Source organism: Homo sapiens, chromosome 3 (genome assembly GCF_000001405.40).
Source record: "Homo sapiens chromosome 3, GRCh38.p14 Primary Assembly".
NCBI classification, from domain to species: Eukaryota; Metazoa; Chordata; class Mammalia; order Primates; family Hominidae; genus Homo; species Homo sapiens.
In genome coordinates this window covers 172,577,795-172,598,320 of record NC_000003.12, presented here as the reverse complement: position 1 = coordinate 172,598,320, position 20,526 = coordinate 172,577,795, and the positions used below count along the sequence as shown (strand labels likewise).

General features: G+C 41.7%; 1 long non-coding RNA gene across 1 annotated transcript in view, besides 4 other annotated features; it reads left to right on the top strand.

The window, feature by feature from the left end:
• Positions 1,908-2,202: a silencer, noted in NCBI's record as "tiled region #2749; HepG2 Repressive DNase matched - State 5:Enh". NCBI's record gives its function as "represses a minimal TATA promoter and a strong SV40 promoter by Sharpr-MPRA in HepG2 cells {active_cell/tissue: HepG2}" and the evidence as "EXISTENCE:reporter gene assay evidence [ECO:0000049][PMID:27701403]".
• Positions 2,714-20,526, top strand: part of LINC02068 (long intergenic non-protein coding RNA 2068) — a 34,707-nt gene continuing 16,894 nt past the window's right edge. Inside the window, exons 1-2 of the long non-coding RNA NR_146714.1 lie at positions 2,714-2,918; positions 3,740-3,860. This is a non-coding gene — a long non-coding RNA (long intergenic non-protein coding RNA 2068). The remainder of the gene's footprint in view (positions 2,919-3,739; positions 3,861-20,526) is intronic.
• Positions 4,971-5,110: an enhancer, noted in NCBI's record as "active region_20828". NCBI's record gives its function as "activates an Ori minimal core promoter by ATAC-STARR-seq in GM12878 lymphoblastoid cells {active_cell/tissue: GM12878}" and the evidence as "EXISTENCE:reporter gene assay evidence [ECO:0000049][PMID:35858748]".
• Positions 5,173-6,372: an enhancer, noted in NCBI's record as "CDK7 strongly-dependent group 2 enhancer chr3:172309739-172310938 (GRCh37/hg19 assembly coordinates)". NCBI's record gives its function as "activates an origin of replication core promoter dependent on BRD2, BRD4, P300/CBP, MED14 and CDK7 cofactors, with strong dependence on CDK7, by STARR-seq in HCT116 cells {active_cell/tissue: HCT116}" and the evidence as "EXISTENCE:reporter gene assay evidence [ECO:0000049][PMID:35650434]".
• Positions 5,781-6,240: an enhancer, noted in NCBI's record as "active region_20827". NCBI's record gives its function as "activates an Ori minimal core promoter by ATAC-STARR-seq in GM12878 lymphoblastoid cells {active_cell/tissue: GM12878}" and the evidence as "EXISTENCE:reporter gene assay evidence [ECO:0000049][PMID:35858748]".

The window sequence follows — 20,526 nt, the reverse complement described above, 5'->3', positions numbered from 1 at the left end:
AAAAAGGAATTCTTGGATAGAAAAAAAAGCATTATCAGAGACTCCTTTTTTTTTTTTTTTTTGAGATGGAGTCTCGCTCTGTTGCCCAGGCTGGAGTGCAGTGGCACAACCTCCGCTCACTGCGAGCTCTGCCTCCCGGGTTCACGCCATTCTCCTGCCTCAGCCTCCCAAGTAGCTGGGACTACAGGTGCCCACCACTACGCCCAGCTAATTTTTTGTATTTTTAGTAGAGACGGGGTTTCACCGTGTTAGCCAGAATGGTCTCGATCTCCTGACCTCATGATCCGCCTGCCTCAGCCTTCCAAAGTGCTAGAATTACAGGCATGAGCCACCGCACCTGGCCCAGAGACTCCTTCTTATCTGAGTTTTCATTACTTAAATTCCTCTAGAACATGATTATATAGGAATATTTGCCATTACATGAAAGTATTCACTCATGAACCGAACACCCATAAAATTGTTCCCCTTTCAAACAATCTTCTCTGCTTAGCTTGAATGACTATCCCTGATCACAAGTCAAAACTTTTTCAGCCTAACTCTTATTGCTTGTAGAATACTGTAAACATCTGACAACACAAGTCAAATAGATGGCAAAGTGGAGTTGTGATTCTTGCAAAAGATGCAGAATTTCATGAAATTGATGAAAATAATGTTGGAGAACTGCTCCAACATCAAGTATAGTCACGTGTCAACAGACTAGGTAAAAACTGAAGAAAAAAAACGGACAAGGAATCATATAAATTAACACTAAAGAAGAGTAATGGGTAAGGATGATGATACAAGAAATGCTTCCAAAATGTACCAGCTTAAATGTCAGGGAATTTTTTTAATCCCTTTGGAAAATTGATGAAAACCCTTGATTTAAAAAATGTTTTTGGTAAAAAAGATCCCCTTTGATGGTGTTACCGAAAGGTAGTATGAGCTAAACAAAGTCGCACTGTGCCATCCTATAATTTTGTCCAAGAAAATGTGTCCTCTTCATGCCAAATCAACTCCTCAACATTCTTTGGGCTAAGAATTAATGCATAGTTGCAAATAACCATATACATTTTGTTAATTTTAAGATAATTATTTTTATTATTTACCTTGAAATATGCTCTTTATTGTAAGAGGATTAATTAACTTTGGCCCTTTCCTGGTATCATTTATCCTTGGATACTGAGTGCGTCTTATAATTCTGTTTTCTATGAAGAACTTTAGAGATGGAGCTTGTTTGTTGTATTCACACTTGTATGAGGCATTTTGTAAAGAAGTTCTTTACTTTGCAGATAGATAGCATAATAGAAGCACAGGGCAGACAGATGATCTGCAAAGGTCACACTAACAGTGTTTACATTTATGTCTGACTCCACTGCCTACTCTCTTTAGGTCAGAATGCCTCCTAGGCCCTCAAAAGCGGAGGCAGCCAGAAACCCAGCATTATTCTTTCTAATCCTCAGTCCTGTAAATGAGAAAATGATGTCTTACTTTTATAAAGTACTACTAATAATAGGGTCTGCATAGGGTACATGAGTGGCAAAGCACCTTCACAAACATATCATTTGGTCTTCTCTTATCACCCCAGGAAGTGGTGAAGAAGCAGGCAAGTGGGAAACTGAGGCTCGGAAAGCTAAAATGGCTTGTCTGAGGACCCACAGCTCAAAAACAGCAGTGTTGTGCCTGAAACTTAACACTTTTAGACTGTGGTGCCGAGTTCTGTTCTCTGTACCTCTCTGGTTTTTGGCATGAAAATAAAGCAGGGAAAGTTAGCAAAGAAATTCATTAACAAAGTTACCATTTAAATAACCTCTCCATCAAATACATGGTCTTCATACTGCAACATTTCCAGGTGAATAACTTTGGTGTTTCTCTTCTGACAGTGGCGTTCACAATACATACAAGAGGGAGCTTGGAGATCACACATTTCCTTACCTTGGAGGCTGAAGAAGATCCTGGTTTATGAACTCTCTGTTAGTAAGAAAACCAGCAAAAAGGCCTTTCAGATTCTCCGTCCCATATAGTGTGCTATTCAGGAGAGCCGATAGAGGGCGGTTACTGAACACAGATCGTGTGAAAATTAACAGCTTCCGAACTGATTTCTTTGCATTGGCTTTGTCAGTTTTACTTTCTATTTCTTGGGAAATATTTCTATTTCTAGTTCTATTAGATTTCTATTTCTATTCGTTTCTATTTCTTGGGAGTATGTCAGGGGAAGGCCAAGATCATAGCAGCAACGCAGACAGGATTTATGAAGTCTGCTTACCATTTCTCATAGAACTCTAGATTCTCCAAGCCTACAAGATTCTCCAAGCCTACAAGATTTATTCTAATAACCCCTGAAGTTAATCAGATTCATCTTATCCCTGACTCCTCACCCCTCTTCTCTCACCAATACACATGTCCTCTTGCTCCTGGTAATAACACAAAAACAACATGGTTAAATTTTGGACTGAACAATTACTAGGCAAGAGAAAGCACAAAATCCTTTGGTCTTGCACAGCTAATGGTAAGCAGCAACTGGAAATAAAAACAAATACACATTATGAGTTCAGCTATATCTCAAGTTAGTTTTTTTGCTTTTGCTTTTGTTTTCTTTTCCCTGCTCTATTAATGAGTTAATCAATTAAGATTTTCTTTCCTTGCATGGAAAGATTTTTGGCTTTGTTTTTAGATTAAGAAAGCTTTTCTCAGTTTCTTAGTTAATTATGAACATGCACTATCACATCATCTTGGACTCAATTCAAAAACTTATCTAAAACATGTAATTACTGGGAAATTCCAGATTAATTTCCTGCAAGTTTTAGTTAGTTAACGATTGTGTTAAACACTTAAGAGAGCAGCTCCTAGATGACTAAACCTGCTCAGCTGAAATCAAATGCTCTCATGCTTCCCTGAATGGACACACACAGAGTCTCTTCACCTGAGGAATAAAGTGTAAGGTGAGGACCCGGTTCTTACCTAAGAGAACAAAATAGCAAAGACACCTCTATAGCTTTGAGAATACGGACATGTTGGGCCGGGTGCGGTGGCTCATGCCTGTAATCCCAGCACACTGGGAGGCCGAGGCGGGTGGATCACCTGAGGTCAGAAGTTCAAGACCAGCCTGGTCAACATGGTGAAACCCCATTTCTACTAAATATACACAAATTAGCCAGACGTGGTGGTGGGCGCCTGTAATCCCAGCTACTCAGGAGGCTGAGGCAGGAGAATTGCTTGAATGCAGGAGGTGGAGGTTACAGTAAGCTGAGATTGCGCCATTGCGCTCCAGCCTGGGCAACAAGAGTGAAACTTCATCTCAAAAGAGAAAAAAAAAAGGGATACAGGCATGTCTTCTTGAGTTCTGGGTGAGAAAGAAAAAAAAGAATACAGATATGAAAGCTAGTATATACTCATGTATATATGAATGTATATACATTATATAAAGGTATTTATCTTGAGAGCTTATTGTTTTAATAATAATTCTTTTCCTATGGAGAACTCAAAATAATATATTGAGTCCCTGTCTGCATTGCCTTGGCGGGGAGGGAAGGTCGGAAAGAGAGAGAACAGGAGAAACGAAAGTTCACTTCAGGTCCTAGGTCACGTGGTGAATTTGGCAGAGCTTGACCGGGAACGCCTGCTTTTGTTAGACTTTGAGACTTGTAGGAAAACACTCCAAACAAAGGCCTTAAGACAAATCTACCAGTTGAGGTAGGAAATCCACTGAGATATTTAGTAGACAGAACTTGATAATTTCTTTCCTTTCATATTTTCATTTTAGATCTTCAGAACTTTTATTCAGGGGAGAAAGGCCCAGGTAGCTGCTGCTGTTCAGCTTAAGGCTAATCTGACCTTCTATAACAGGAGTTCAAGTCCCAGAAATCCCTAGTCCTCCATCAGAGGTAAGTAAGGATGGCAGCTGAACCCAAGAAAAGGAGCATGAATGATTAACTCTTCCTTCATTTCACCTCAGAAAATGGGGGCTGGGCGCAGTGGCTCACACCTGTAATCCCAGCACTTTGGGAGGCTGAGGCAGATGGATCACTGAGGTCAGGAGTTTGAGACCAGCTTGGCCAATGTGGTGAAATCCCATCTCTGCTAAAAATACAAAAATTAGCCAGGCGTGGTGGCGTGTGCCTGTAATCCCAGCTACACCAGAGGCTGAGGCAGGAGAATTGCTTGAACCCAGGAGGTGGAGGTTGCAGTGAGCTGAGATCACGCCATTGCACTCCAGCCTGGACAACAAGAGTGAAACTCCATCTCAAAAAAAAAAAAAAAAAAAAAAAGGAAAGAAAGAAAGAAAAGAAAAATAAAATGTGGGGAAAAATATTTTACTTTAATACTTTGCCTGCCCTGTCAAGACGTAGTTCATCATGCTTTGTGGGGAAAAAATTCACAATTAAAAGGATTTAGCTCTGTGTGACAGCTGATATTCTTAACTGCAACGGTCTTTCTGAGGAGTTATTATTTCAAAGAAAAAAGTGCATTGAGGACAATAAATATGTTTATTTTCATTGGTAAAGAAGGAAAGTAGAATAAGTTTTCATATTTGTTTTTAAGAATATGAATTCTACTCTGTTCTTTGCAATGTTTTCTATCTTCTAGCAAACACATTAAAAGGGCATTTATTTTTCTTACGCTCAACCAGAAGCAGCTAGTGTGTACTGCTCTCACAGAGAGAAATAGATGGGGCGAGTAAATACTGCACTTTCAACCGAAACATACAGATACACATGTTGGAATTCATCAAGAAAACAACCTGACCCATGGAGAATGGAGAAAAGCAGGGCAGGACAACCGCCCACACGGGAGAAACATGGAGCCAGGGGAACCTCCCCATCCAGGGAAGCCGTGAGTGAATGAGCGACCCTGCGGACCAATGCTTCTCCCATGGATCGTTGCTACTCTTGGGTCAGGAGATCCCCTCATGAACCCACTCCACTAGGGCCTTCAGTCAGATACACAGAGCTATGGGGAGTCTTGGCAGAGCAGCCGCTCAGGTACACACGGAGCCCCAGGAGCCTTAGATATCCTGGCTTCCTGGCAAAAGTAACTGCTACTCCAGCCAAGTGGGAGGTTAGACCCCCATACCTACTCCTATGAAAGGGGCTGAATCCAGGGGGCTGAGCAGCGATGATCTGCAGGCCTCACTTCCATAGCACTTCAGAGGTCACAGGATAAGACCCACTGGCTTGGAACTCTAGCCAGCTGCTGGTAGCAGCATTACACATCCCTGAGAGGGAGCTCTCAGAGGAAGGGGTAGGCGGCCATCTTTGCTGTTTCACAGCCTCAGTCCTTGTTGCCTTCAGGCTTTAGAGAGTGCAAGGTGATCCATCAGTGACTGGAGTGGACCCCCCAGCACAACATGGCTGTCCTGTGGAAAAGTGGCCAGACTGCTTTTTTACACAAGTCTCCAAACCTGTTTCTCCTCACTGGATGAGTCCTCCTGGCCTGGGTCTCCACCCACCCCCTGCCAGGGATATTGAGCCAGTAGCAGCTCCATAACTCTCTGGGACAGCGCTCCCAGTGTTTGGGGGTTGGGGGGTGAGAGGGTGGGGGGTGTGATGTTTGCTGTCTTGCAGCCCTTGCCCTTACTGTCTCCAGGCTCTGAAAAGTCCTCTGTGAGTACCAGGGGCTGGTCCAGACCCCCAGCACAGAGCGCCCACCTTAGAAAAGCGGTCAGACTGTTCCCCACAAGTCCCAGTCCTCACTGCATAGGGCTGCCCGACCTGAGACTCCAGCACCACCATCCTGTTTCCGCCTGACCACTTCAATCAGAGGCACCCCCGCATTTCTTCGAAGAGGAAATAAATACCAGAGTGAACCCACAAACCTTCGCCTCTGCAGTTGCAGTGGTACTGCCCTAACAGACCTCAGGCTGGGGAAGGAACAAAGGTCCCAGTCACTACACTGGTATCTTTAGTGCACCGCAGCCACCATATGGAAAGGAGTTCAGTTTCTCTTTCCTGGGAATCCCCACCCGCTACTCTTCACCAGGCAGGGCCCCTGGTTCATGACCACAGAACAGTCACGTCACCCACAGCTGAGCAAACCCACCGGTAGTGGCCTGGAGTTTCCCTGGGGAAAAGCTCTCAGAGGTATATGACAGTCTCTCCACCACAGTGACCACATGGAGAGGAGACCATTATCTCCTCTCAGTGAGCCCTTGAACCCCTGCTCCCCAACAAGTGGAGCCTCCAACTCACACCAGCAGTGCAGCCACCCACCTCACTGGCTGAACATTCCCAGTAACAGTGACTCTGCATTTCTTGGGGTTGGAGCCCTCAGGGGCAACCAAAAGCCTCTCTGCCACTGCCTCTGTAGTAGTACTACCCCTACTACCTTTAGACTAATTAAACAGCAAAGACCCTAAGTGCCTCATCCACACCCCCAACAAGCTGCAGTTAACCCAAGGAGAGGAGACCAGTCCATCTCCCACAGGTCCCATCCACCCCTGCTGCTTGTCACCAGGGAACCCCCCAGCTTGGACCCACAGTACAGATCACCCATCTTGGGCCTATCACACTGAGCAATTGCTGACCTGCATCTCTGTGGAGTGGAGCCCCCAGGAGACAAGTAAAAGACCCCCAGCCACAACCACTGCTAAGGTCCTTCTCTCTGCTGCCTCCAAGCTGGGGAGGAAACATAAACCCTGAGATCTCCCCAGAGCTGTGGTGGGCAGCCTAGGAGTGCCAAGTCTCAATCTGTAGCCAGCACTCAAATGGGAGAGGAGTCCACACTTTCAGAGCATTGAGAGGTAGCCCAGCTGCAACCATGAGGAAATATAGAGGAGTCACATGACTGGGAAAGAGTCTACCTACTGACCACTACTTCACAAAACCCCTCATTTCCTTCTGTCCTCCCTAAAGCCTCTCAGTTTTGAATCTCATGTCTTCAAATTGTATCACCCACTGGCCTCCATGAAGCGCCTAAGCACCACCTACTGGATCACACCCCGCAGCTTCAACACCAAAAAGTTAGAAAGACTTCAAATTAACAACCTAACATCACAACTAAAAGAACTACAGAACCAAGAGCAAACCAATCCCAAAGCTAGCAGAAGACAAAAAAACACATGCTTATCTCAACAGATGTATCTCACTAACATACCCGCCCTGTAAAACCAAAGATAAGAAGTCAGCTGCAAATAAAGACCTCGCACAAAGCCTCAGCCCTGTGAAAATATTCAGGAAAAAAGTCTTCTGACTGTACTCAATCTATGCTGCAGTTAAAGGAACACCCATACACAGAGATGAGAAAGAACCAATGTAAGAACTCTGGCAACTCAAATGACCAGTGTCTTATGTACTCCAAACAATAGCACCAGTTCTCCAATGAGGGTTCTTAAACAGGCTGAGTTGGCTGAAATGACAGAAATAGAATTCAGAGTATAGATAGGAATGAAGATCATTGAGATTTAGGAGAAGAGGAAAACACAATCCAAGGAAACTAAGAATCACAATAAAATGATAAAGGAGCTGACAGGCAAAATCGCCAGTATTAAAAAGAAACCTAACTGATCTGATAGAGCTGAAAAGCACACTGCAAGAATTTCACAATGCAATCGCAAGTATTAACAGCAGAATAGACCAAGCTGGGGAAAGAATCTCAGAACTTGAAGACTGGCTCTCTGAAACAAGACAGCCAGACAAAAATAAAGAAAAAAAGAATGAAAATGAATGAACAGAAACTCCAGAAAATATAGGATTATGTAAGGAGGCCAAATCTATAAATCACTGGCATCACTGAAAGAGATGGGGAGAAAGCAAACCACTTGGAAAACACATTTTAGGATATCACTCATGAAAACTTCCCTCACCTTGCCAGAGAGGCCAACAGTCAAATTCAGTAAATACAGAGAACCTGTACAATATTCTACTCAAGAAGATCATCCCCAGGACATGTAATTGTCAGATTTTCCAAAATTGAAATGAGAGAATGTTAAAGGCAGCTAGAGAGAAAAGGCAGGGCATCTAAAAGGGAATCCCATCAGGCTAACAGTAGACCTCTCAGCAGAAACTCTACAAGCCAGAAGAGATTGGGGGCCTATATTCAACATTCTTAAAGAAAAACATCTTCAACCAATAATTTCATATCCAGCCAAACTAAGCTTCTTAAGTGTATTAGTTCATTCTCACACTGCTAGCATACTACCTGAGATTGGGTAATTTATAAAGAAAGAGGTTTAATTGGCTCATACTTATGCATGGCTAAGAGGCCTCAGGAAACTTAAAACCATGGCAGAAGGTAAAGGGGAAGCAAGGCACATCTTACATAGCAGCAGGAGAGAGAGAGTGTGTGTGCATGGGAAACTGCCACTTTTAAGCCATCAGATCTCATGAGAACTCCCTCACTATTATGAGAACAGCACTGGTGGGGGGGAACTGCCTCTATGATCCAATCACCTCCCACCAGGTCCCTCCCTCGACATGTGGAGATAAGATTTGGGTAGGGACATGGAGCCAAACTCTATTAATAAGCAAAGGAGAAATAGCCAAATAAGCAAATGCCAAGGGAGTTCAGACCCACCTTACAACAGATCCTGAAAGGAACATTAAATATGGAAAGGAAAGACTGTTACCAGCCAATACAAAAACATGTTTAGGTACACAGACCAGTGACACTATAAATCAACCACACAAGCAAGTCAGCATAATAACCAGCTAACAACACAGTGACAGGATTAAATCCACATGTATCAATACTAACCTTGAATATAAATGGGATCAATGCCCCTCTTAAAAGGCACAGAGGCCAGGCATGGTGGCTCATGCCTGTAATCTCAGCAATTTGGAAGGTCGAGGCAGGTGGATCACCTGAGGTCAGGAGTTTGAGACCAGCCTGGCCAACTTGAGGAAACCCTGTCTCTACTAAAAATACAAAAAATTAGCCAGGCATGGTGGCAGGTGCCTGTAATCCCAGCTACTTGGGAGGCTGAGGCAGGAGAATTTCTTAAACCCAGGAGGCAGAGGTTGCAGTGTGCTGAGATTGCACTACTGCACTCCAGCCTGGGCAACAAGAACGAAACTCTGTCTAAAAAATAAATAAATAAGTAGGCCAGGCACAGTGGCTCACGCCTGTAATCCCAGCACTTTGGGAGGCCGAGTTGGGCGGACCATGAGGTCAGGAGATGGAGACCATGCTGGCTAACATGGTGAAACCCCGTCTCTACTAAAAATACAAAAAAATTAGCCTGGCGTGGTGGTGGGTACCTGTAGTCCCAGCTACTTTGGAGGCTGAGGCAGGAGAATGGCATGAACCTAGGAGGCAGAGCATGCAGTGAGCTGAGATCATGCCACTGCAATCCAACCTGGGTGACAGAGCGAGACTCCGTCTCAAAAAATAAATAAATAAATAAATAAGTAAAAATAAAAAATAAAAGGTACACAGTGGCAAACTGGATAAAAAAGCAATACTCAGTGGTATGTTGTCTTCAAGAGACCCATCTCACATGCAATGACACAAATAGGCTTGAAACAAAGAGATGGAGGAAAATCTATGAAGCAAATGGAAATGAGGAAAAAGCAGGGGTTGCAATCCTAGTTTCAGACAAAACAGACTTTAAACCAACAAAGATTTTTAAAAAAAGGCAAAGAAGGGTGTTACATAATGATCAAGGTTTTAATTCAACAAGAAGACCTAACTTTCCTAAATGTATACACACCCAATGCAGGAGCATCCAAATTTATAAAGCAAGTTCTTAGAGACCTTCAAAGAGACTTAGACTCCCAGACGAGAATAGTGGGAGACTTTAACACTCCACTGATAGTACTAGACAGAACACTCAGGCAGAAAATTAACAAAGATATTCAGGACCCGAACTCAACATTGGGCCAAATGAATTTCATAGATCTCTACAGAACTTTCCATCCCAAAACAACAGAACATCCATCTTCTCATCACCACAGGGCACATACTCTAAAATCAACCACACTATTGGACATAAAACAATCCTCAGCAAATGCAAAAGGACCAAATCATACCAAAAACACTCTTGGACCACAGAACAATAAAAATAGAAATCAAGACTAAAAAGATAGCCCAAGCCATGCAATTACATGAAAATTAAACAACGTGCTCCTGAATGACTTTCAGGTAAATAATAAGATTAAGGCAAAAATCAAGAAGTTATTTGCAACTAATGAGAAAAATGATAAAACATATCAGAATCTCTGGGACACAGCTAAGGCGGTGTTAAGAGAGAAATTTATAGCACTAAACACCCACCCAAAAAGTTAGAAAGACTTCAAATTAACAACCTAATATCACAACTAAAAGAACTACAGAACCAAGAGCAAACCAATCCCAAAGCTAGCAGAAGACAAAAAAAAGTGCTTATGTTAATAGATGTAGAAAAGACATTTGATAAAATTCAACACCCCTTCATGTTAAAAACTCTCTATAAACTTGGTATTGAAGTAACATACCTCAAAATAGTAAGAGCAATCTGTGAAAAACCCGCAGCCAACATCATACTGAATGGGCAAAAGCTGGAAGCATTCCCCTTGAAAACTAGCACAAGACGAGGATGGCCTCTCTCACTGCTCCTATTCAAAGTGGCTACATAATCTTGGAACCAAAGAGAAATCTGGCGAGTGGAGTCAGTGACTTTTAAAAATTATCTTCAGGCCAGGAGCGGTGGCTCATGCCTGTAATCCCAGGACTTTGGGAGGCTGAGGCAGGCGGATCACCTGAGGTCAGAAGTTCAAGACCAGCCTGGTCAACATGGCAAAACCCCATCTCTACTAAAAATACAAAAAATTAGCTGGGCATGGTGGCTCGTGCCTGTAGTCCCAGCTACCTGGGAGGCTGAGACATGAGAATCGCTTGAACCCAGGACGCAGAGGTTGCAGTGAGCCAAGATCGTGCCACTACCCTCCAGCCTGGGCAACAGTGTGAGACTCTGTCTCAAAAAAAAAAACAAAAAAATTAAAAAAAATTATCTTCAGGTTTTATAAGGAATCAGAATATAAAAGGATATGAAGGGAAGTCCTTCAATAATCACAAGTGATGCAATGGATGAAACACAGAGAAGGTAGAGCTAGGAAAGTTCCCACCCAATCTCCAAGTGCGTCTGTTAACAACAATAAACACAAATTCATATGAGAATGTTCCTTATTGTTTTAAATATATATTACTGAAAAGCTAAAGGACCCCACTGCATAGTGGCTAATCTCTGATTTTTAGAATGACTCCAGGTAGGTGGGGAATAAGTCAAGAGGGATGTAATATGTACTCTGAGTTTTAAATTATGATTAAATTGATATCACCAAATTCTTATGTTCATGAAAAACTCCATAGTAAAGGTGAATACTCAAAATTTTCCTCAAGTTACTAAAAGTTATCATCAATAAAATTCTTAACAGAGAAGAACAAGCAAACTAGCAAAAAAGAACGACAACAACAAAAAATAACTTCTAGAATGTATTTATACTGGAGTAAGCAAATAGAGAAAGACTTAAGCCTGCGTGTGCCTAGATTAACTGGCAAAATCTGCTTTAAGTATTCTTGGCGTAGTCTGAAAAGGATTCATGTACTTAAGGTCCAAATCTCAGAAGGAAAAAAAAATGCCAGTAACACTGTTTCATGCTGGGTTCCCTCATACCTTCCTCATGTTTAAATAAAACAAGGTCAGGAGTTAGAGACCAGCCTGCAATGCTGCAATGATTTTTTTCCATTGTATATGTGTTTATTTGTGTGTTCCTGTGAGCATTTGCATGCTTATGTGTTCCACTTCCTTATCAAATCTGAGATGTGCCTGATTTCCCAGAATTAGCTATGTTCTAAAGTGACCCTAAGCTTTTTTTTTTAACATAGTGCTTTCACTTTTGTTTCTCCTTATTACAAATGGAATCATAAAAATTTAGAGTTTGAAGGATAGTAACTTCTTATTTTACAGATCCAGAACATTAGGACTAGTGGTTTGCTCGAGCCCTCCTGAGCTCCATACAAAGCTCTTTTTGCAAAATTTTATTCTGGATTTAAATGTTAGGTAAAATTCCATACTCTTCTATTATTTGATTAAAGTTATAACTACACTTGAAGCCATCTGGGAGTCAGTTATATTAAGATCATTGTCCACAAACAAAAAATATATTCAAAGAACAACTTAGAACAGTGTCCCCCTACCAATTAGATATGATATTCAAAATATTTAGTAACTGGCAGGGCATAGTCACTGACGCATTGACACAGACACCGCTGTCAACACCTGGTCTGATTGAAGCATGCAAACTAGGGAAATAACAACCCTTTTTCCAACCCCTTCCAGAAAATTCAGAGTTCGGTGAAATGAATCAGAAATGAATACTTAAAAGATTTGACAAAATTACAAAGAAAAAAGGATATATACTTGAACGTAAGATATCTAATAGTCTATTAATTAGGAATTAACTACTAACACTTAAATACAGAGTCAGTCTAACATATCAGCCATAACTATATCAGCCAGGACAGATATCCAGCACAAAATTACTCAGGCAAAAGAAAAAATTTATTTGTTTGCGCAATCCAAAAGTCCCAGGAGTGTCTTCTGGTACAGTTTAATCCAGATGATCAAGAGATAAAATCAGGACTGGGTGCGGTGGCTCATGCCTGTAATCCTAGTACTTTGAGAGGCCAGGACAGGCAGACCAGACTTGAGGCTAGGAGTGTCAGACCAGCCTGGCCAACATAGCAAAACCCCATCTCTACTAAAAATACAAAAATTAGCCGGGCGTGGTGTTGTGCGCCTGCTCGGGAGGCTGAGGCATGAGAATCGCTTGAACCCCCAGAAGGCGGAGGTTGCAGTGAGCCAAGATTACACCACTCCATTCCAGCCTGGGCAATACAGTGACACTCTGTCTGAAAAAAAAAAAAAAAAAGAGAGAGAGATAAAATCAGAAATGTCTCAGTGTTGGCTTCATTCTCAGCAGATTCTTCCTAAATAGGAGTAAGATTGCCATTATAGTCCAGGATTATAGTCTACCATGTTAGCAAAGAAGGAGAAAGGAAGTGATCTTTTCTGACTCTAACAAATCTTCCAGAGCTGACTCTTTCTCACTGGATTAATTTGGGTTACCTGCCATTCCTAAGCCAATAATGCTTCTGACTGGACCTGGGGATAGAATCAGTTCCACTGAAATTTCATGAATGAAATAAGGAAAGGTGGTTCCCTCAAAGATAAATCTAAGTGTGAATACCAAAAAGAAGAATGGATACTGGATAGACCAAAACTGTAGATATCTACCAAGTGCGTCTCTCAGCAGCCCAACTTCCACATTCATCTTTTTCCTCATATAAACAATCATCAGAATTCTCCCCACTAATACAATTCACCCATCAGCATACAACCAAAAATACATAGAGTTTCTCTTCTAGGAAGGGAGATAGCCTCAAGTTGCACCAGTTCTTGCATACAAGTTCCAGGATCTCTGGGAGATGCACATTTCTCTCTAGACTTTATGTTAATGGCATCTGGACTAAATGACGTATTTATTCATCCTCTATACTCCCAGTGTAAAATAATGGAGGGGAAACGTCATAATAAAAATTCCTTTTGCAAATGGGAAAACGGGGAAACAAAATTCAAAGGACACTGCTTTGTTGCATCAATAAATGCTGCTAAACCAGGATAGCAACTATATCCTGCCAAGACAGTAGAGCAAGTTTCTAAATCAACCAACTTGGCTTTCCCCAGTCCTGCAAGCTAACCATTGATCTTAGCTAAGATGGGCACCAGTGAGAACCCGCTTTCTGAGGGATGCACTGTATTAGTCTGTTTCCAGTTGGTGTAAGTTCTAAGGGTTGGGATTTGCAACAGGGGGTGTATTTTTGCAGGTTTTTGCTCTTATTTTTTTCTTTCTTTCTTTTTTTTTTTTTTTTTTTTTTGAGACAGAGTCTCGCTGTGTTGCCCAGGCTGGAGTGCAGTGGCGCGATCTAGGCTCACTGCAAGCTCCACCTCCCAGGTTCATGTCATTCTGGTTTTTGCTTTCTTAAGTAATAGGCTTGGAATTTATCCCGGAATACATCTCTTAAAGTTTGTTAGCCTCTGTTGACTTATATTTGTTCAGTTCCACAGATCTGGTTAGTTATGACTCTTGCATTAAGAGCTTAATCTGAGGGATTCTGTCATATGCCAACAAGTTCCAGTGCTTTGTCCATTCTGTAAGTTTTCAGCATTCGACCTGGAGAGGGCATCTTGGCAGTGCAAACCTGTAGCCTGGATTGGAGAAGAACAGCTCTCCTTTCCCCTACCCCACATTATACTTCATGGAATGGTTTTAACAATGGTGGTAGTTGCCAACTTTGTCAATAAATAGAGCCCCAAAGGATATGTTGGAGACTGAGAGACTGAAGAATCAAACATCCCCAGATCTCAGTCTTGTATCTAACCACGTTTTCACCCTGATTTGATTCCTCTTACTTTAGCTTGGTGCCGAGAATACAGGTTTCAACCACATTGGATTTCTGGACACAGGCAAGATGTATCTTTCTTAGAAAAGCTTTAATTTTCTTCCCTTACCACTAGCCTTTCAGGTAGGCCACATTTGAGAGATGTTTGTCATTGATAAGACTTTACTGATGTTTGCAGAAAGTGGTCAACACATAATATCCTGATATTTCCCCACTAGATCCCCCCAAATCAGGCCTTGGTATAAGGATATGGTCTGATTTTATTTAAAAACAAGCTGGGAAAAATACCTGCAAAGGACATATTTGATAAAGAACTGTTATCTGAAATTTACAAAGAACTCTTAAAACTCAAAAATAAGGAAACAAATAACTAAATAAAATAGGCAAAAGACCTCAACAGATACCTCATCAAATAAGATATCCCAATGTCAAACATGCATATGAAGAGATATTCAACACCATATGTCATTAAGGAATTGCAAGCTAAAACAGCAATGAGATGCTACTGCATGCCTGTTAGAATGGCCCATATCCAAAACACTAATGACACCAAATGCTGACAAGATTGTGGAGCAATGTTGGTGGGAAGTCAAAATCGTACAGACATTTTGAAAGACAGTATGATAGAGGGAATGCTCACGTCTCCCTAAAATTCATATGTTGAAATCCTATCCCCCATGATGATGGTAGGGAGTGGGATCTTTGGGAGTGAATAGATCATGAGAGCAGGGCCCTCATGAATGGAATTAGCAGCCTTGTAAAAAAAAAAAAAGAAGACCCAAGAGCTAGCAAGTTCTTTCTGCCATATTAGGACACAGCCAGAAGACACCATCTATGAACCAGAGAGCAGGCTCTCACCCAATACCAAATCTGCCACTGCTTTGATCTTAGACTTCTCAGCCTCCAGAACTGTGAGAAATAAATTTCTGTTATTTTGGTATTTGTTAGCTACCCAGTTTATAGTATTTTGTTATAGCAGCCCAAACAGACTAAGAGAGACAATTTGGCAGTTTCTTATAAGTCTAAACATGTTCTTACTATGTGAGTCAGCAATCATATCCTTGGAATTTGCCCAAAGGACTTGAAAACTCATGTCCACACAAAAAGTTGCATATGGATGTTTACAGCAGCCTTATTCATAACTGTGAAAACTTGGAAGCAACCAAGATTTTCTTCAGTGGACGAGAGGGTAAAAAAAGTGTGGTACATCCAGACAATTGAATATTATTCAGCACTAAAACCAAATGAGCTATCAAGCCATGTAAAGACACGGAGGAAATTTAAGTGCATATTGCCAAGTGAAAGAAGCCAATCTGAAAAGGCTACATACTATATGATTCCAACTATATGCCATTCCGGAAAAGGCAAAACTAGGGAAACAGTAAAAAGATGAGTAGTTTCCAGGAGTTAGTGGGGAGACAGAGATAAATAGGTGAAGCACAGGGGATATTTAGTGCATCGGAACTATTTTGTATGATACTACAATGGTGGATACATGTCATTAGATATTTATCAAAATCCATAAGATGACCAACACCAAGAGTGAAGCCTCATGCAAACTATGGACCTTGGGTGATAATGATTCATTATAACAAATGTGCCACTCTGGTGTGGAATGTTGATAGTGGGAGAGGCTAAGCAGTTGTAGGGGCAGGGAATATATGGGCACTCTATTTCCTGATCAATTTTTCTGTGCATCTAAAAATGAACCTAAAAAATAAGGTCTACTAAACAACAACAACAAGAGGTGACAGTTTAGTTGACTGTTTGCTATCACCTATCAAGGATCTTCCCTTCTCAGCCAGGATAGGAAGATTTCCACCCTCCTGTGATACATCTTGTCTTGTACAAATCCAATTTAGGGTTTGTCCCATGTAAAACTTCATTTCCATAGACTAACTTCTAGAATAAAGACTTCTTGAGTCATTCAGAAACCTAACTCAAACTGGCTCAATTGAATGTGAGAATGTATCAGTTTATGTAACTAAAAAGTCTAGGGACTAAGATAAGGCTGCATTCAGGCATAATTAAATCCAAGTACTTAAAAGATGCAGTCAGAAATCAATCTCCTCTCTCTCTCTGTCTCTCAGTCTTCCACTCCATCTCCCACCTCCATGTTGACCTCATTCTTATGAGACCTCTCTCCATGTGGTAACATATGGGTATCAGCATCTCTAGACTCACATTCTGCCACTTAAGCTATACTTAGAAACAATAATCTTCTTTCTCAGAAAAATTCAAGCTGCTACCTCGATTGATAAACTGCAGCCACTTGTGCATGGCTTAAACAACTTTAGTCCATTGTTTCCAAAATTATATTTGCATGTCACTGGTGCTCCCTGAGATGATCTGGTAGTAAGCAAACATTTATTATAATACATGCCAGGGGCTAGAGGGGAGGGACGGATAAATAGGCAGAACATGGAGGATATTTAGGGAAGTGAAATTATTCCGATATTATATTGGTGAATGCATGCTGTTTTACATTTGTCACATGTATAATTATGTGTAAATTTTTATGCATAATAAAAAATAAGTAGTGCCTCAAAATTTTTTTTCTTTTGCTTGGGATGAGGCTGAAATAGGAAGGAAAGTAGTATTCATTTTACAGGATTAGGGTGAGTTTCAGATATGGTGATCAGGCATGTTCATGATCATTTTGTACCTTTACGAATCGAATTATCAAACAAGACTTAACCTGTTCCATGTAGTTGAAGTGCTGTACAGGCAGAAAAAATCTAGTCACTGTTGTATACTGAGGGGAAAATCTTAGGTTAAGTCCCTCAAAGATTCTGGAAAAATTTCATATGGTAATTCATAAGGCAATTTTTGAAAGGAAGTCAATATGTCACAAATTGAATGTAACTTTGAAAATCTTTACCCTACTTTGGAAAAAAGTATCATTTTAGTATAACATAAAATGAACTACATGACTGTCCTCTCCATGGTTAAATTCCTTGTCTGCCAACATTATATAACTGACTTTTGTTTCTTCTGATTTGTTTTCATGCAGTTAATTTTCAAGAGGAAGAGCTTCCTTCCTAAATTTGATTCAAATCTATTCCAGGAACAAACAGAAGCTTAAAGTTTCTTTTCACAGTTTCTTTTAAGGCGCCACTTTTGTTTCTCTGTGGTTTCATTATGAGAAGTAACTCAAAGTGGAAGAAGATTGTTGTAATGTATTGCATTTCTATACTTGAGAGAGTTTTTAAGTTCTTCAGATAAGTATGGTATGTGGTTGCAAGGTAATTTTCACTTATTTGCAATAATACAAATTTGTGAATTTCTGTTATTTGTTAGCTACACAGTTTATAGTATTTTGTTACAGCAGGCCCAACAGAATAAGAGAGACAATAAGCAGATTCTGGGAAAATGGCAGAGTAGGAAGAACCAGGAATCTCTCTCCTGACCTACCCAACTAATGCAGTGGCAGAATATGACTTAACTATCTTGGAACTCTGGAGTAATCTAAGGTTCACAATTTCCAGAGGAAGGCTTAGGTTGTGTATTAGTTTGTTCTTACGCTGTTATGAAGAAATACCTGAGACTGGATGATTTATGAAGGAAAGAGGTTTAATTGACACACAATTCCACATGGGTGGGGAGGCCTCAGGAAACTTATAATCATGGTAGAAGACAAAGGGGAAGCGAGGACCTTCTTCACATGGTGGCAAGAGAGAGAAGAGTGAAGGAAAAACTTCCAAACACTTATAAAACCATCAGATCTTGCGAGAACTCACTATCATGAGAACAGCATGGGAGAAACTGCCCCCATGATCCAATCACCTCCCTCCCTTGACATGTGATGATTACAGGTGCTTCCCTCGAGGTGTGGGGATTACAGTTTGAGATGAGATTTGGTGGGGACACAGAGCCAAACCATATCATTCCACCTCTGGCCCCTCCCAAATCTCATGTCTTTTCACATTTCAAAACCGATCATGCCTTCCCAACAGTCCCTCAAAGTCTTAACTCATTTCAGCATTAACTCAAAAGTCCACAGTCCAAAGTCTCATCTGAGACAAGGCAAGTCTCTTCCACCTATAAGCCTGTAAAATTGAAAGCAAGTTAGTTACTTCCTAAATACAATGGGAGGACAGGCCTTGGGTAAATGCTCCCATTCCAAATGGGAGAAATTAACCAAAACAAAGGGGCGACAGGCCCCATGCAAGTCTGAAATCCAGCAAGGCAGTCCTTAAATCTTAAAGCTCCAAAATGATCTTTTTTGACTCCATGTCTCACACCCAGGACACACTGATGCAAAGAGTGGGCTCCCATGGCCTTGAGTAGCTTCTTCACAGGCTGGCATTGAGTGCCTATGGCTTTTTTAGGTGCACGGTGCAAGAAGGAGGTGAATCTACCATTCTTGGGTCTGGAGAACAGTGACCCTCTTCTCACAGCTCCCCTAGGCAGTGCCCCAGTGGGGACTCTGTGTGGGGGCTCCTACCCCATATTTCCCTTCCACACTGCCCTAGCAGAGGTTTTCCATGAGGGCTCTGCCCCTGTAGCAGACCTCTGCCTGGCCATCCAGGCATTTTTATACCTCCTTTGAAATCTAGGCAGACATTCCCAAACCTCAATTCTTGACTACCATGTACCCACAGGCCTAACACTACAGGGAAGCTGCCAAGGTCTGGGGCTTGTACCCTCTGAAGCCACAGCCTGAGCTGTACATTGGCTCCTTTTAGCTATGGCTGGAGCTAAAGTGGCTGGGATGCATCATACCAAGTCCCAAAGCTGCACACAGCAGTGGGGGCCTGGGCCTGGCCCAATAAATCATTTTTAACCTCCTAGGCCTCCAGGCCTGTGATGGGAGGAGCTGCCGCCAAGATCTCTGACAGGCTCTGGAGATATTTTCCCCATTGTCTTTGTGATTAACATTGGGATCCTCATTACTTATGCTAATTTTTGCAGCCAGTTTGAATTTCTCCCCAGAAAATGGGTTTTTCTTTTCTACTGCATGGTCAGGCTGCAATTTTTCCAAACTTTTATGCTCTGCTTCCCTTTTAAACGTAAGTTCCAATTTCAGGTCATCTCTCTCAAGTTCAAAGTTCCACAGAAATCTAGGGCAGGGGCAAAATGTCACCAGTCTCTTTGCTAAAGCATAGCAAGAGTGACTTTTCTCCATTTCTCAATAAGTTATTAATCTCCATCTGAGACCACCTCAGCCTGGACTTCATTGTCCATCCATATCATTATCAGCATTTTGGTCAAAACCATTCAACAAGTCTCTAGGAAGTTCCAAACTTTCCCACATCTTCCTGTCTTCTTCTGAGCCCTCCAAATTGTTCCAATCTCTAACCATTACCCAGTTCCAAAGTTGCTTCCACATTTTTTTGTATTTTTGTAGCAGTACCCCACTACCTTGGTACCAATTAACTGTATTAGTCTGTTTTCACACTGCTATAAAGAAGTACCTGAGACTGGGTAATGTATAAAGGAAAGGGGTTTAATTGAATCACTGTTCCACATGGCTGGGGAGGCCTCAGGAAGCTTACAATTATGGCAGAAGGGGAAACAGCCACCTTCTTCACAAGGAAGCAGGAGAGAGAGCACACAGGAAAAAACTGCCACTTTTAAAACCAGCAGATGTCATAAGAACTCACTCATTATCATGAGAACAGCATGGGGGAAACCACCCCCATGATCCATTCACCTCCCTCCCTTGACATGTGGGAATTACATGTTCCTCCCTCAACACAAATAGGGATTATAATTCAAGATTCGATTTGTCTGGGGACACAGAGCCAAACAATATCAGGTTGTAAATTGCAGTTAGTTTCAGTCATTGTCAGCTGTAGCCATCCCTTACCCTCAGCGGCTTGGCAGGCAGCTGTGCAGATGATCCTGGAGTAGCTTACACATAGCTTTGCCCAGTGTGGACAAAGGAATGCTGTACTCTAATTATTGGGGATCTGTGCTCTAAATTGTTGCTTCTAAACATAGAAGTACAGAAAAAGGAAACCACTGTTGCATGTTCTCTTATTGTTGCCCCCCTCCCCCACCGACCCCACTTCCCCCACCCTCTAGTGACTTCCAGGAAATTTGAAAGGCAAGTGCTTTTTCCCCACTTTCATTTTTCTCCTTTCTTTTCTGGAGGGTCAGACATTAAGGACTAGGACATTTGAAATTAAGTCACCACATAAACCCGGGGAAAGGGGTACAGACTCAGAA